The following is a 13865-nucleotide window of genomic DNA, read 5'->3' as shown; positions in this document are numbered from 1 at the left end:
TCGCACCCGCACCGCCCCCCCGCCCGCCCCCCGCCCCTGCTCCTTTAGGCGGCTCCTCCCCCACCCCCCACCGAGGGAGCTGGGGTTGGCTCCACCTTTGGAGCAGATCCTAGCAGTACCAAGGTCCACCTCTCTGGGCCAGTCCAAGCCCCTCCTGCCTGGCAGGTCCCCCGAAGCAGTAGGACGGGGTAGTCTCTGAGAAAGCAGAGAGAAAGCAGCCTGAAGAAACTGGCCCCCACTCTTGTCCCTGCACTCTAACTCATGCATCTATTCACAAGTATGTGCAGGCATTATGCACCGTGTGCCAGGGACGTGCCCTATGCAGGGAAGCAGTGCCTCCCCAGAGCTCAGAGGCTGATGAGGGAGGCAGGCAATGAGCAAGGAAACAGTCCATCTCCAGCTCGGGGCCAGCTAAGGACGGCCTTCTCCAACTCTCCCCTCTTGCTCCAGACACAGTCTATCCATTTGAGGTTGCTGTGCAAGAGGCTGCCCCGGGGGATGATGCCCGGCCCTGTGCACAACACAGGCTGCCTCTCTGCTTTACACAAAGGCTCCTTACCAGCTAGTTCTGTGATTCTCAGAGGCCCACAGCATCCTCAGGCTTTTGACAACCAGGCTCTGGCACCCACTGTGTGCCAGACCCTGGCATCTGCCTGGCTCAGGGGTGGTCACTCACGTCCCCAGCTGCTGGCCTTGGAGCAACTGCTACCAGGGTCCAGCTGCAAGCAGGAGCCTGCGGCCGCGCTGGGCCTCACTGCTGGAGGTTGTATATTATAATAAAGCCAACATTTTGTTGAAGGCTTCTGCTGCGCCAGGCACTGTGTTAAGCTCTTTGTGGGGATTATCTCGATTAACTCCTACAAACCTAGGAAATAAATAGAATTTTCCCTAGGCTCAATGTCACACAGCTCCCAAGTGGCACAGGTGAAACTTGACTGCAGATCTAAGTTACTGATCTGAGCAAGGAAGTGGAAATTATGTTCTCCAAAACATCACTAGAACTAGTAGTATAGATTCTGGGAAGAGGAGACTCAGGGGCCACAAGCCTGGCTTGCTAGACCCTCAGAAGGGCTGTATGATTCCAAAGGCATGTGGAGAAGCTGCAGGGGAAATGCAGGAGAGGAAGGTTGCAGTGTGACCTCCAGAAGGCCTTTCTGAACGAGCTTCCTGGAGGTGTAGTGCATGCAAGCCATGGCTGGGCACCAGGCCAGGCCGCTGCAGAGAGGTTTCTTGCACTGGCAGAGGGTGAGACTGCATGACCCCAGAGGCTCCCTACCCCCAGCCACAGGAGGCTGTGACTCTGGACAGGGTTTGGGGCTGGGCATGAGCAGAGCTGAAGAGGCCGTCCTCTCTGCCTTTCTCGGGGAGGGTGTGCAGGAGAGGCTCCAGAGGCTTCCAGTGGAGGATGCTTCATTCAGTCAACAAGCATTTATTGAGCACCCACTGTGTTCCAGGCAGTGTGCAGGCCTGACCTCAGGGGGCTCGGAGGCACCCCTGCCTGCTCACTGCTTTGCTTCATGCCTTCCAGGAGCCCACACGCATCCCCCGGATGAGTTCCTCTTCACACCAGTGGTGGTCGCCTGCATGTCCATCATGGCCTTGCTGCTGCTGCTGCTCCTGCTGCTATTGTACAAGTATAAGCAGGTGAGCCGGAGCGGAGTGGGGCTGCCAGGTGCCTGAGTGAGCCAGATTTGGATGGTACCCCCAGGCTGCATGGATTCACCCTTCCTCCTCCTCAGTCAGTCCATCAGCTAACAGCTCTTTAGTGGGTGCCTACTGTATGCCAACATGAGTCAGCTGCTGGGTGGCCTCTGAGGCTCTGCCCTAATAGCGTTTACTGTCTAGTGCGAGAGACAGGTGCTAATCAAATAGCCATTAAAGCAAGGGCACACCTGTAATCCCAGCTACTTGGGAGGTTGAGGCAGGGGGATTGCTTGAGGCCAGGAGTTAGGGACCAGCCTGGGTGATACAGCCAGATCCCAGCTCAAAAAACAAACAAAAAGCCGTGAAAGCAAGAGCATGGATTATAGAGTGAGAGGCTATGAGGAGAGGAATGGCATTCTGAGGCAGCGCAGCCCTGGGATCCTGTCTCAGCCCAGGGGTGTCCTGGCACCCAGCACGGGGCAGAGGAAATGGATATACAAGCGTGGTGTCCCCTGGGCCAGGCCTGAGCCCTGCCCTAAGAAGCACATGGTCTAGTGAAGACGAGGGCCTGTGACCATCATCCTCTTCATTATTTCATGTTACTGTCCTATTAGCCAAAGCCACAATTTAGTGCATGTTGCGTATAGTGTGCTTCCTGTCACTGTCTGCTCAGTATATGACAGTGATTTGAGGGGCATTTTTCTATAGCATGTTACCTACATCATCTCATTTAATGCCCTCAGCAACCACTGTATGCAGCTAGCATTAGTCTGTTTTACAGAGTTGTAAACTGAGGTTCTGAGAGGTTGGGACAGTTGCCCTTGTCTACAGCTGGTCAAAGGCAGAGTCTGGTTTTTAACCCTGAAGGAGGACTCACTCCAAAGCATGTCCCAATCATTATGTGAAACATTGACTCATCTTATTTTACCCTCACAAGAAGCTGGAGGCAGGAAGTATACTAGTCAGTATCTTACCCATCAGGAAGCTGAGGCTCAGCAAGGTTAAAAAAAAAAACCCCAAGGGGCTGAGGGATAGGGTTGGCACTGGGCCCCAGGGGCTTCTGTCCCTAGAGCCCATGGCCTCCACTGCCTGCCTGCCCACACAAAGACCATGTGCAATGTGATCAGAAGCTGAGAGGACCAGGCCAGAGGGCTGTGGGAGTTCAGAGGTGGACGGACTTTTCAGGCTGGTGGGTAAGGGAGACTGCCTGGAGGAGGTGGCTTGGCATTGGTGGGACGGGCTTTGGAGGATGAGGATGCAGCAGGGGAGATGACACTAAGGGAAAGGGTACCTCTGGGGGAGAGGGCAGAGTGTGCAGAGGTGCAGGTGAGGGAAGGACCAGGGTGGGGTTGGGGGTCTGAAGGGTTGGACCCCACCCTGTCGGTCCAAGGCCATCAGTGGGTTTGAACAAGGGAGTGGTGTGATCAAGGACTGAATGACCCATCTTGTGTCCCCTTGGCTACCTTTTCTTCCCCACACCCCCTTGGGGCTTTTGTGAGAAGAGGGCTTGAAGTGGGCAGGGTGGGAAGGATGTTGGGGGAGCCCCAGGGGCACATGGATCGGGATCTCTACTCCTGCCAGCACTCAGCATGAGAAGGCTGCTCTGAGGGCAGCCCCGGTCAATACCTCCGGATCTAGGTCCAGCTCTGACACTGTTTTGCCATGTAACCTCAGCTGACTCGCTGTCCTCTCTGGGCCTTAGTTTCCCCTCTTATACCATGGGTCTGGGTGTTCTCTAACAGCCCCTCCTCCTCTGACATGCCAAGAGCCCACTGGTGGTCTAGTTTAAGCACCAGAAACTTGGACTTCAGTGAATCTGGGTCCAAATCCTGCCTCTGCCAAGCTCTGGCTATGGGATGATGAGAAAGTTGGTGTGTCTGAGTCTCTTCTCCATTTGTAAAATGGGATCATTAACAGCCTGTTGTGAGGGATTCCGTACCACAACGCACATAGAGGACTGAGCGGGGTGCTGGACGAGACAGTCTCTGTGATGGGAGCTGCACACTCTTGTCCCAGGAGGAAGTTCGTTGGGGAACCAGAGTTAGCTCATGCCTCTTGGGATGGTGGAAGGAGGGGGAGGTCTGAGGTCGGGCATCATCTCCTTGACTACACACCCAAAGCGGTTGTTTGGCCCAGCCCACCCACCTCCAGGGACAGGACCTTACTCACTCTCGGGGCCACCTGTTCCTTCTCTGAGCAGCTCCAATGTTTGCAAAGTTCTTCCTTACATGGAACTGAAAACTGCCTCGCAGTGCCCACAGAGCTGCCAGGACAGTCATGCAGAGATTCCAGAGAAGAGCCTAGGGCCCCCTGCGGCCCTTTCTGCCTTGGGCTGGCCAGCCCCCTTGGCTGTGGTTTAGGAACTCTGTATCCCCTCTCCACGGGACCATTTTTGGAACATGTCACCTCCACACTTCCTGTCCAGGAAATTCAGCTGCCCCTGGAGCCCATGCAAGGCTGCGAGAAGACTTGCAGCTACCCTCCTCCCCTACACCCATTCACAGACCCTTTAGCTCCAGGCCGAGGTGTCCACCCATGGGAGCGGAGGGGGCAGGATGGTCATGCCCGTGCTAAGTGCCTGCCCTCCCATCCTCCTCTGCCTTGCCCCATGAGGTTCGGAGCCTTGCCCCTTCACTGGGGACTCAGCCCAGCCTCTCCTCATTGCCCAGGCCTGGGGAAAGAAGTGGCCTGTCTGTGGGGAGTGTTTGTTCTGCCTCAGGGCTGAATCATCACCTTTCTGTCCCCCAGAGTGACCACAAGGGGGGCCGTGGGGGAAGAGAAAAGGGCAGGAGTCAGCAGGCTCCCCTGGAGGAGGAGGCGCACAGGGAAATGGCTGAGGCAGCAGGGAAGGGAGGGTCCAGGGAGGCTGCTGGAAAGACTACGATTCTGGGGGCTGGAACTGAGCTCTGAGGAGCAACAGGAGGGTCCCCAAAGATTCCACTGGGAATTGTTCAGATCTCCACCTTCCTGGGATGGAGAACATCCACTCACCCAGAACCAGCAGGCCTAGATGGGGAGGGGACCGGGACTTTGTCTCCATGCCCCCTTTGGTGGGGAGGATGGGAGGAAGGGAAGAAGTCAGGGGGTGGGCCTGGGGCTTAGGCCCATTGCAAGGAATGAATGGGGTGATGTGCTTCAAGCATCTAGCCCAGCGCCCCACTCCCAGGAAGAGCTCAGGAAGAACCCGCTGCCATCATGACAATTACGTCCACCCTTCTCAGGGAGCCTCGCCCATCCCCACCTCTTGATCTCTCACTCATAGTTCTTTGGAAGAGAGGCTGCCTCTGGGTAGACGCCCATGAGCCCTTTCCAGGGATGGCACAGGTGCCCTGGGAGGTTTACATGCCCAGCAGGGGCAGGGGAGGGTTCCTGAGGCAGGCAGAAGGCAGCTTGGTCCGCTTCCAGAAATTAGGAGCCTAGGATTCAGAAATCTGAGAATCCAGCCAAACCTCCATCCTCCTTGATCCCCTCCCTTTCAACAGTGCCCCCTGCCCAGCTGGGGGCAGGGAGGGGCTGACTCAGCCCAGCTGCAGAGGGACAGAGGAACAAGAAGTGGTAAGAAAAAACAGTCTTAGCCACAGAGGCTCCTAGAGATGGAAGTGGCCAGGAGAGGCTGAAGAATCCCCTCCTTGCCTTGTTGCTGTCTTTTGGGCTGGGAAGGCACCCACGGGCAGGATTTGGATCCTCAGAGGCTTGGGAAGTTCTTCTCCCTGGGTCCCGTTTCAGACTCTCTCCCAAGCTATAACGCAGAGGCTCTGAAGTTCACCTGCAGTCCGCCCTTCCGAATCAGAGCCTGGAAGTTAGTTCCTTCTCATTTCTAATTGCAGTCTTTTCTCTCTAACTACCAGCTAGAAGTTCTTCCTGATGGTTAGCTGGAAGCTTTCTCCCTGTCTCTCTCTTTAAAAATGTCCACATTTTATTTTTGATTCAGGGGATAGACGTACAGGTTTGTTGCATGCGTATGTTTCGTGATGCTGAGCTTTGGAATATGGATCCCATCACCTGCTACTGAGCATAGCTCCCATAGTTTTTCAACCCTCGCCCGCTTCCACCCTCCCTGCTCTAGTAGCCCCCAGTGTCTGTTGGTGCCATCTTTATGCCCATGCACACTCAATATTTAGCTCCCACTTATAAGTGAGAACATGCGGTATGTAGGTTTTCTGTTTCGGTGTTAATTTGCTTAGGATAATGGCCTTCAGCTGCACCACGTTGCTGCAAAGGACATGACTGGAATCTTCTCTCTCAACCAGGACTTGCAGCTAAAGGCCAGCCTCCTCCCTAGCACCGGTCCACACTTCCTTTAAGTTTCTAGCTCGGGTGCCCAGGGAAGGAGCCCAGCTGCAGGCACAGCCAAGCTTGTCCCATCCCCAAGGCCTGGCCGGAAAGAGTTGCTCTGCTGACCCAGGGCCTCAGTGTCCTCCACCGCCCCAGCCCAGCTTCCACTTTCCCCCTCAACTTGGTCTTCCATCAGCATTTCTTGTGGGCAACCCTTAGCATGGTACTCCCCCTCAGCAGCTGACCCCTGGGCAAGAAACAGGGGCAGCCATTCCTCCTCCCCACATCCCAGGGCTTGCCTCCCCTGGCTGGGTGGTAACAGCATGGAGAGCCTAAGGAAGGAAATCAGGTCTTTCCAAAGGTGCTGGTCCTCCAGAATCTATCTAGTGGGCAGCGTCTCTCTTTCTCTCTCAAAAAGGTAAAGTCAAGGCTGGGTGCGATGGCTCACGCCTATAATCCCAGCACTTTGAGAGGCCAAGGCAGAAGGATTGCTTGAGCCCAGGAGTTTGAGCCTAGTGAGCTATGATCGTGCCACTGCACTCCGGCATGAGTGAAGGAGCAAGACTCTGTCTCAAAAAAAAAAAGTCAGATGGCGACTCACCTGTGTCAAACTCTCAGGGTCTCTCACTGCCCGGCCAGGCATGGTAGCTCATGCCTGTAATCCCAGCACTTTGAGAGACCGAGGCAGGCAAACTGCTTGAGCTCACGAGTTCAAGACCAGCCTAGGCTGCGACAAAGCCCCGTCTCTACAAAAATTAGCCAGGTGTGGTGCCACATGCTTGTAGTCCCGGCTGCTTGGGAGACTGAGGTGGGAGGATTGCTTGAACCTCGGGGGTCGAGGCTGTAGTGAGCCAAGACTGCCCCCACTGCATGCCAGTCTGGGGGACAGAGATCCTGTCTTGGAAAAAAAAAAATCCCAAAAGGGAACCCACTCACCTTATCATAGCCCTCAAGGCCTTCCTGTTTCTGGAATCTGCCCCCCACTTCCCTCAAGCCATGATGGCTGCCTTCCTATAGCTCAAACTTGCCAGGATCATTCCCATGTCAAGCATACAGCATTTCCATGCACTGTTCCTGGAAAATTCTTCCTCTGATGGTCACATGGTGGGCTCTTTAGGGGCCTTCCCTGACTTATCTTACTTTATTTTCTTCATAGCACCACTTGAGAATCTCCTAGATACATGTTTATTTGCGTTTAATGCCTCTCTCAGCCACTAGAATGCAAACTCCATGGAGGGGCAGGGACTTTGTCCTGTTCAACTCTGAATCAGCGGTGCCTGACACAAATAGATGTTCAAGAAAGTATGTGGATGGGCTACTATTATTCAGCCTTAAAAAGGAAGGGAATTCTGACCTGTGCTGCAGCATGAATGAACCTTGAAGACATTATGCTGGGTGAAATAAGGCAATCTCAATAGACACATGCTGTGTGAGTCCACTGAGGTGCAGTGCCTAGAGCAGTGCAATTCACAGAGACAGCAGAATCATGGTTGCCAGGGGCTGGAGGAGGGAAAGGGGAGTTGCTTTTTAACAGGAACAGAATTTCAGTTTTGCAAGATGAAAAGAGCTCTGGAAACTGGTTGCACAAGGTAGAATGTAATTTACTTAATACTACTGAACCATACACTTAAAAATGGTTGAAATGGTAAATTTCATGTATGTTTTATCACAATTAAAATATATATATATATTTGGATGGGAGGTTGGGTGGGTGGATGGATGGGTAGATGGATGGACAGATGAACGGATGGATAAGATCTCAAGTTCCACCCTCCCTCCTGGCTCAGGAATTACCAGATTATCAGAGATATCAGGGCCCTCAGAGGTTGTCTTGTCCAAGGTCTTCAATACACAAATAGTGAAACAGGCTTGGAGAAGGGAAGGTCACACAACAAGGCAGAGTCAAGCAGGAACATGCTCTCAGTGCTATGTTCATGAGACGACCTCTCTCAGCCCAGAGCAGGCCTTGCCCTGCCTTCTCCCACTGGGCGCCTTGGGACTGCCCACACCCCTGCTCTTGGGGGTCAGAAACAAGGTCCAGGAACTGCCTGCCAGCCCCGACTGCCACGTGCTCCCTTCCTCTTCTGCAGAAGCCCAAGTACCAGGTCCGCTGGAAGATCATCGAGAGCTATGAGGGCAACAGTTATACTTTCATCGACCCCACGCAGCTGCCTTACAACGAGAAGTGGGAGTTCCCCCGGAACAACCTGCAGTTTGGTGAGATGGCAGCTCATCACTCCACAGCTTCCTATCACAGGGCCTGTGGGGGTTGCAGGGAGCCCATGGGCCCTTGGACAGAGGCCCTTTGGTGCCCAGGGACTTAAGGGACCTGTGTGCGTGGCAGGTAAGACCCTCGGAGCTGGAGCCTTTGGGAAGGTGGTGGAGGCCACGGCCTTTGGTCTGGGCAAGGAGGATGCTGTCCTGAAGGTGGCTGTGAAGATGCTGAAGTGTGAGTGAGGGGAGGGGATGAGGGAAGGGATGGGGGGTGGTAGATGCTGGGGGTGGGCTGGCCCTGGTGTCACAAGAGGCATCACACACATTTCAACCTGTTGAAGCCTGGGGGACAGAGCTCAGGGGTGAGGACTTGGGTTTTCTTGTGAGCTCCAGGCACCCTCTGACTCCCGGCTCCAAGAAGGTCTAGGTCACCCTTTAGTTGTGAAGGGGCTCCTGACTGAGCTCCAAAAAGTCTGGGGGTGCAGAAAGGCCACCTATGGCCATGGCCTGGCCACAGTTTGGCTTCCTGTCACCTGAAGACCAGCTCAGTGACAGGCTCATCCCTCCTCTCTCTCTCTCTGCCATCTGTGTGTCTGCATTTTTCCTTCTCCTTCTTTTGGCTTCTGGTCACTCCGGGTCTTGGGGTATGCCCTGCTTTCTCCCCTGGGTCTCTGCATTTGGTCCCCATGTATCTGTGTGGTGCTCTCTGTCCTGCCCTCTCCCTGTCTTTGGGACTGTGGTTCTTCCTCCCAGCCACGGCCCATGCTGATGAGAAGGAGGCCCTCATGTCCGAGCTGAAGATCATGAGCCACCTGGGCCAGCACGAGAACATCGTCAACCTTCTGGGAGCCTGTACCCATGGAGGTAAGGGCCTTGGGGTTCCTGGGGCCAAGGTCTTGGGGCCTCTGGGGAATCTCAGGGCCCCAGGGCTACCTTGTTCCGTCTTCTCCTTCTCAGGATCCTACTGCTCCAAGTGTCAGGGGGATCCCGGTCACAGCATCCCTTAAACTCCTGGGCCCATCTCCTGGAATAGTCAGGAGCTGCACGGGCAGCTTGAGGTATAAAGAGAGACTGATAGGGAGCATCGGAGCCCTTGGAGGAGGAGATGAATGTGCAAGCTCCTAGGCCCTGCTTCCAGGGAGCCGGATCCTCTGGGTCTGGAGTGAAGCCCCCCGCCTACCTCTTATGAAGCTTCCATTCAAGGATGCTTGGACACTCTCCCCAGGGCCCCCAAAGGTGCCCCGGGCTTTGCTGGGACTCCAAGTGCCCCACATCCTCTTCACTGATAGCAGCTCTGACCTACAGTGAGCCGCCATAGCTTTCCTTTGAAGAAATAATTCTTGGGCTACATTTTTTTTAAGGTTGTCTTTTTTTTTTCATTTTTTGTTTTTTTTTTCTTGAGACGGAGCCTCACTCTGTCACCCAGGCTGGAGTGCAGTGGTGCGATCTCGGCTCACTGCAACCTCTGCCTCCCAGGTTCAAGCAATTCTCCTGCCTCAACCTCCTGAGTAGTTGGAACTACAGGCACATGCCACCATGCCCGGCTGATTTTTTTGTATTTTTGTAGAGATGGGGTTTCACCATGTTAGCCAGGATGGTCTCGATCTCCTGACCTCGTGATCCACCCACCTTGGCCTCCCAAAGTGCTGAGATTACAGGCATGAGCCACCGTGCCCCGCCAAAGCCATCTGTTTTAAACAAATGGAACTACTGAGGCACAAGGAAACTTGCTCACAGAGCCGAGGTTAGAACTCAGCTATGCTGAGTCCAAGTCCAGTGGCCTCACTGCCCCCAGTCTCATGCTCCTGTTCATGGAGGGGAGCACTCAGCACCTCCCTCACCCCACACCCTTGGCTGCTCTAGGCCCTGTACTGGTCATCACGGAGTACTGTTGCTATGGCGACCTGCTCAACTTTCTGCGAAGGAAGGCTGAGGCCATGCTGGGACCCAGCCTGAGCCCCGGCCAGGACCCCGAGGGAGGCGTCGACTATAAGAACATCCACCTCGAGAAGAAATATGTCCGCAGGTAGCCCCTGGCAAAGGACAAGAAAAAGGCCAGGTCTGGGAGGCAGGATCCGAGTCTGTCTTCAAAGCCAGCTCAGGGTTGGATGGCTCATGAATGGGTGGCTATGCAGCCCTCACCTGCCACCTGTGTCATGGGAAGTAGCCACCACAGGTTTTATGGCCATCTCTTGTTTCTCTACTCCTTTTCCCCTTCATTCAACAAATATTTGAACACCTACCGTGTTCTGGGAGTGTGGAGGGCAAAGATGGGCAGCTCATAATCTGGTGGAGATATGCATCAATGAAATCACCACCCAGTGTGTGTAAAAGATCAACCAAGATCTGTGCCTGGAGCCCTAGTAAGAGATGGGCAGATGTGGCCGGGTGCAGTGGCTCATGCCTGTAATCCCAGCACTTTGGGAGGCTGAGGCGGGCAGATCACCTGAGGATGGGAGTTCGAGACCAGCCTTACCAACAAGGTGAAACCCCGTCTCTATTAAATATACAAAATTAGCCGGGCGTGGTGGCGCATGCCTATAATCCCAGCTACTCGGGAGGCTGAGGCGGGAGAATTGCTTGAACCCAGGAGGCAGAGGTTGCTGTGAGCTGAGATCACACCATTGCACTCCAGCCTGGGCAACAAGAATGAAACTCCGTCTCAAAAAAAAAGAGAGATGGCTCTGTTGTCCTGTTGCTGTGATTCCTGGAAGCCATCCAGAACAGAGCCATCCAACAGACAGAGCCACATGGGGAACCAAAGAGAGGAAGTGGGGAGATTCATGTCACACATGAGTCAGGGTTAGAGGTGGAGCCTGGACTAGAATCCTGCTCTCTTGACTTCCAGTCCAGGAGTCACCCAAGCCACACTGCTGTCCTGGAGGTCTCTGTCTCAGGGGCTTGTGGGGTCAGGACAGGATCAGAACAAGAAGGGTGTACACTGCGCCCTCATCCTAGATACTGTCAGCTGCCACGCCTGGGGAGGCAAAAGAGAAGGAGGCCATCTCTTCACCCAGGGCCTTAAAAATGGGGGCCTGGCAGCATCACTTCCTCTTCTGATTCCCTGACACTTCTATGAGGGTGGCACACACTAGGCCTCTGAAGATCAGATCAAAATGAGCACCAAAGGAAAGTATTAGCTTCCATCTTCAAATACGCAGATGGGGAAAGTATTCCCAGAGTGGGTAATTTCGAGGGCAAATGGCCTGTAAACCAACTCTGTCAAAGGATTCCAGGCTGTTAACGGAAGCATAGTTTCTACAAGGGAGCGGAAGGTTTTTTCGGTTTCTCCTTCTGGGAACACTAGAATATGGACATTGTCAAGGTACACATCTCTAGCGCAGAGGGGACAGGAGGGAGAGAGAAATCCTATCTGGCTGGAACGTTAGGAGCAGTAGTGCTTCAGTCTACAGTAGTGCTTCTCAAATTCTCTACCCCAAGTGTGCTCTCATAGGCATCTCTTGAGGACTGTTGGAAGTGCACCACCTCAGGCCCATCCACCCAGGCCTGCTGATTCAAAATCTGCATTGCAGAGATTCCCGGGGTGATTTATCTGCACATGAGTTGCAGCGTAAGCAGCACTGCTCTAGACCAGTGGGCCTCAGCTTAGGCTGTACTTTGTGATCACCTGGGGAGATTTAAATCTGTGAATGACTGTTTTGTCCCTAGAGTTTCTGAAGTATTAGTAATTAGCCTGATCCTAAAAGCTCCCGAAGTGATTTTAATGTGAAGCCAGGGGTGTGAGGCACTGTCCAGAGAAGAGAGGGCACAAGGGGCCCTAGAATATGCCCCAATTCTAGTAGGGCTGTTATGGGGAAGAGGACTCCAACTTCTCTGTGGCCCTTGAGGGTAGAGCAGGGGCTAGGAGGAAAATCTCAGGGGTAGATTGGCATTAGGAACAGTGAAGAACTTTCTCACAGGCAGAGCTGCCCAAAACCAGAATGGGTTGTAAGCTCCCTCACCGGGGACAGCCGAGCAGAGACCAATGCTCACTCAGATGGAGTGTGGCAGGAGGGTTTCTTATCAGAAAGGGAGGTTCCAGTTGACCATGGGGTGGTGGGTGGTCAAGGCCTGAGCTGAGCAGTGCAGTGATGATGAGTGACCTCTGCCCCCCAACCCTCTCTCCTATGTAGGGACAGTGGCTTCTCCAGCCAGGGTGTGGACACCTATGTGGAGATGAGGCCTGTCTCCACTTCTTCAAATGACTCCTTCTCTGAGCAAGGTGAGGAGGTCCCAGGGCCAGGCCCCATTTGCTTGATAACAAGGGAAAAGGAGAAGGGGCTGCTGGGGTGAGGGGTGGGGAGTGTGGCAGGGCTGCCCTGACGCCTCTTCCCACCCTAGACCTGGACAAGGAGGATGGACGGCCCCTGGAGCTCCGGGACCTGCTTCACTTCTCCAGCCAAGTAGCCCAGGGCATGGCCTTCCTCGCTTCCAAGAATGTGAGTAGGAACCTGGCCCTGGCTCATAGCCACCCAGGTCTGTGCTCCGGGGAGGCTGGATGAGTGACGATGGGGAGGAGGAAACGGGAGCCTGTGAGGGGGTAGGGGAGGAGACAGAGTATGAGAGAGTCATTTGGGCAGCAGCTGCAAGGATGAGTGGGAGAAAGCTGTGCCCAGGGCTGGAGCTCTGGGGCTGGGCACCTGTGTCCCCAGCGTGAAGATGAGGAAGGGTACCAGGCTTTCTTCATTCGTTTTTACTAAATAGTGTATGAGAGACAACAGTTGTCTCTGCTCATAAAGCACGCGGTCTGGTGGGGATGATAACGGAAGCTTCCTCAGAATTTTGGGGATATTAGATAACGTATAAAGTGCGCTCGGCCTAGGAAGAAGTGCCAGGGAATGGGAGCTCTTGCCATCTTCCTTAGAACAGATTCGGGAGTCAGTGGTTTGATTGTTGGCTCTGCCACCTGCTCCGTGACTTTAAGCAACTATTTAAATTCTGTGCCTCAGTTTCTACACCTATAAAAATGGGCATAACGATTGTTGAAAAGAAAAAGGGTTCAATGTGTGCAGAGTTTAGGGAAGGGCCTGGCAGATAGCAGCTGCTATGATCAGAAGTAACGGTAGGGTTTGGAGACTGCTCTCTGCACGGAAGCCCTTCGCTTCTGGGGCCTGAGCAGACCAGTCAGAGGACAAAGGGTGAGAAGGGCCATGGCTGCTCAGGGTAATGGGGGTTTCTAAGCATTAAATGATCAGATCACGATACACATTCTCAGATCCTGGGCCCTGGTAGAAGGTATAGACAAGGGTTTGTGGTAAAGGACCAAAACTGTTGTTCACTCCAGCAGGGACTCCAAAGCCATGTGGGGCCCTCCCTGCCATCCTCCTCACCTCAGGCTCAGGTAGGAGAAGGCCCAAGACTAACCCTGCAGTGCTTTCCCTCAGTGCATCCACCGGGACGTGGCAGCGCGTAACGTGCTGTTGACCAATGGTCATGTGGCCAAGATTGGGGACTTCGGGCTGGCTAGGGACATCATGAATGACTCCAACTACATTGTCAAGGGCAATGTAAGTGCTGGGAGGGCTTGGGCCAGGCTGGGGAGGGGGTGAAGAGTCGGGGCCCAAAATAACTGGGGACTGTCATCCCAGGCCCGCCTGCCTGTGAAGTGGATGGCCCCAGAGAGCATCTTTGACTGTGTCTACACGGTTCAGAGCGACGTCTGGTCCTATGGCATCCTCCTCTGGGAGATCTTCTCACTTGGTGAGCCACTGGGCCCACTCCAGGCAGAGCCT

At 54.2% G+C, this 13865-nt stretch overlaps 1 protein-coding gene across 7 annotated transcripts in view, besides 4 other annotated features; it reads left to right on the top strand.

Moving 5' to 3' along the window:
- The window catches only part of CSF1R (colony stimulating factor 1 receptor), a 60071-nt gene that overhangs the window by 43507 nt on the left and 2699 nt on the right, over nt 1–13865 (top strand). For 5 of the 7 annotated variants that reach the window (NM_001375321.1, NM_005211.4, NM_001375320.1 and 2 more), the window contains 9 exons: nt 1529–1644; nt 8010–8136; nt 8264–8368; nt 8887–8997; nt 9997–10159; nt 12267–12355; nt 12475–12572; nt 13518–13640; nt 13722–13833. In NM_001375321.1, the coding sequence (NP_001362250.1) occupies nt 1529–1644; nt 8010–8136; nt 8264–8368; nt 8887–8997; nt 9997–10159; nt 12267–12355; nt 12475–12572; nt 13518–13640; nt 13722–13833 (1044 nt within the window). The remainder of the gene's footprint in view (nt 1–1528; nt 1645–8009; nt 8137–8263; nt 8369–8886; nt 8998–9996; nt 10160–12266; nt 12356–12474; nt 12573–13517; nt 13641–13721; nt 13834–13865) is intronic. The other 2 variants (NR_164679.1, NR_109969.2) reach the window with 1 other exon arrangement.
- Nucleotides 1212–1922: an enhancer, noted in NCBI's record as "H3K4me1 hESC enhancer chr5:149447500-149448210 (GRCh37/hg19 assembly coordinates)". NCBI's record gives its function as "activates a minimal SCP1, AML or CMV promoter by ChIP-STARR-seq in primed H9 embryonic stem cells {active_cell/tissue: H9 hESC(primed)}" and the evidence as "EXISTENCE:reporter gene assay evidence [ECO:0000049][PMID:30033119]".
- Nucleotides 2849–2898: an enhancer, noted in NCBI's record as "active region_23397". NCBI's record gives its function as "activates an Ori minimal core promoter by ATAC-STARR-seq in GM12878 lymphoblastoid cells {active_cell/tissue: GM12878}" and the evidence as "EXISTENCE:reporter gene assay evidence [ECO:0000049][PMID:35858748]".
- Nucleotides 4849–5024: a silencer, noted in NCBI's record as "fragment chr5:149444398-149444573 (GRCh37/hg19 assembly coordinates)". NCBI's record gives its function as "represses an EF-1alpha promoter that drives an FKBP-Casp9 reporter gene in an ReSE screen in HepG2 liver carcinoma cells {active_cell/tissue: HepG2}" and the evidence as "EXISTENCE:reporter gene assay evidence [ECO:0000049][PMID:32094911]".
- Nucleotides 10046–10248: a silencer, noted in NCBI's record as "fragment chr5:149439174-149439376 (GRCh37/hg19 assembly coordinates)". NCBI's record gives its function as "represses an EF-1alpha promoter that drives an FKBP-Casp9 reporter gene in an ReSE screen in K562 erythroleukemia cells {active_cell/tissue: K562}" and the evidence as "EXISTENCE:reporter gene assay evidence [ECO:0000049][PMID:32094911]".

This window comes from Homo sapiens, chromosome 5, assembly GCF_000001405.40.
Source record: "Homo sapiens chromosome 5, GRCh38.p14 Primary Assembly".
NCBI lineage: Eukaryota > Metazoa > Chordata > Mammalia > Primates > Hominidae > Homo > Homo sapiens.
This window is presented reverse-complemented; position numbering and strand designations above follow the sequence as displayed.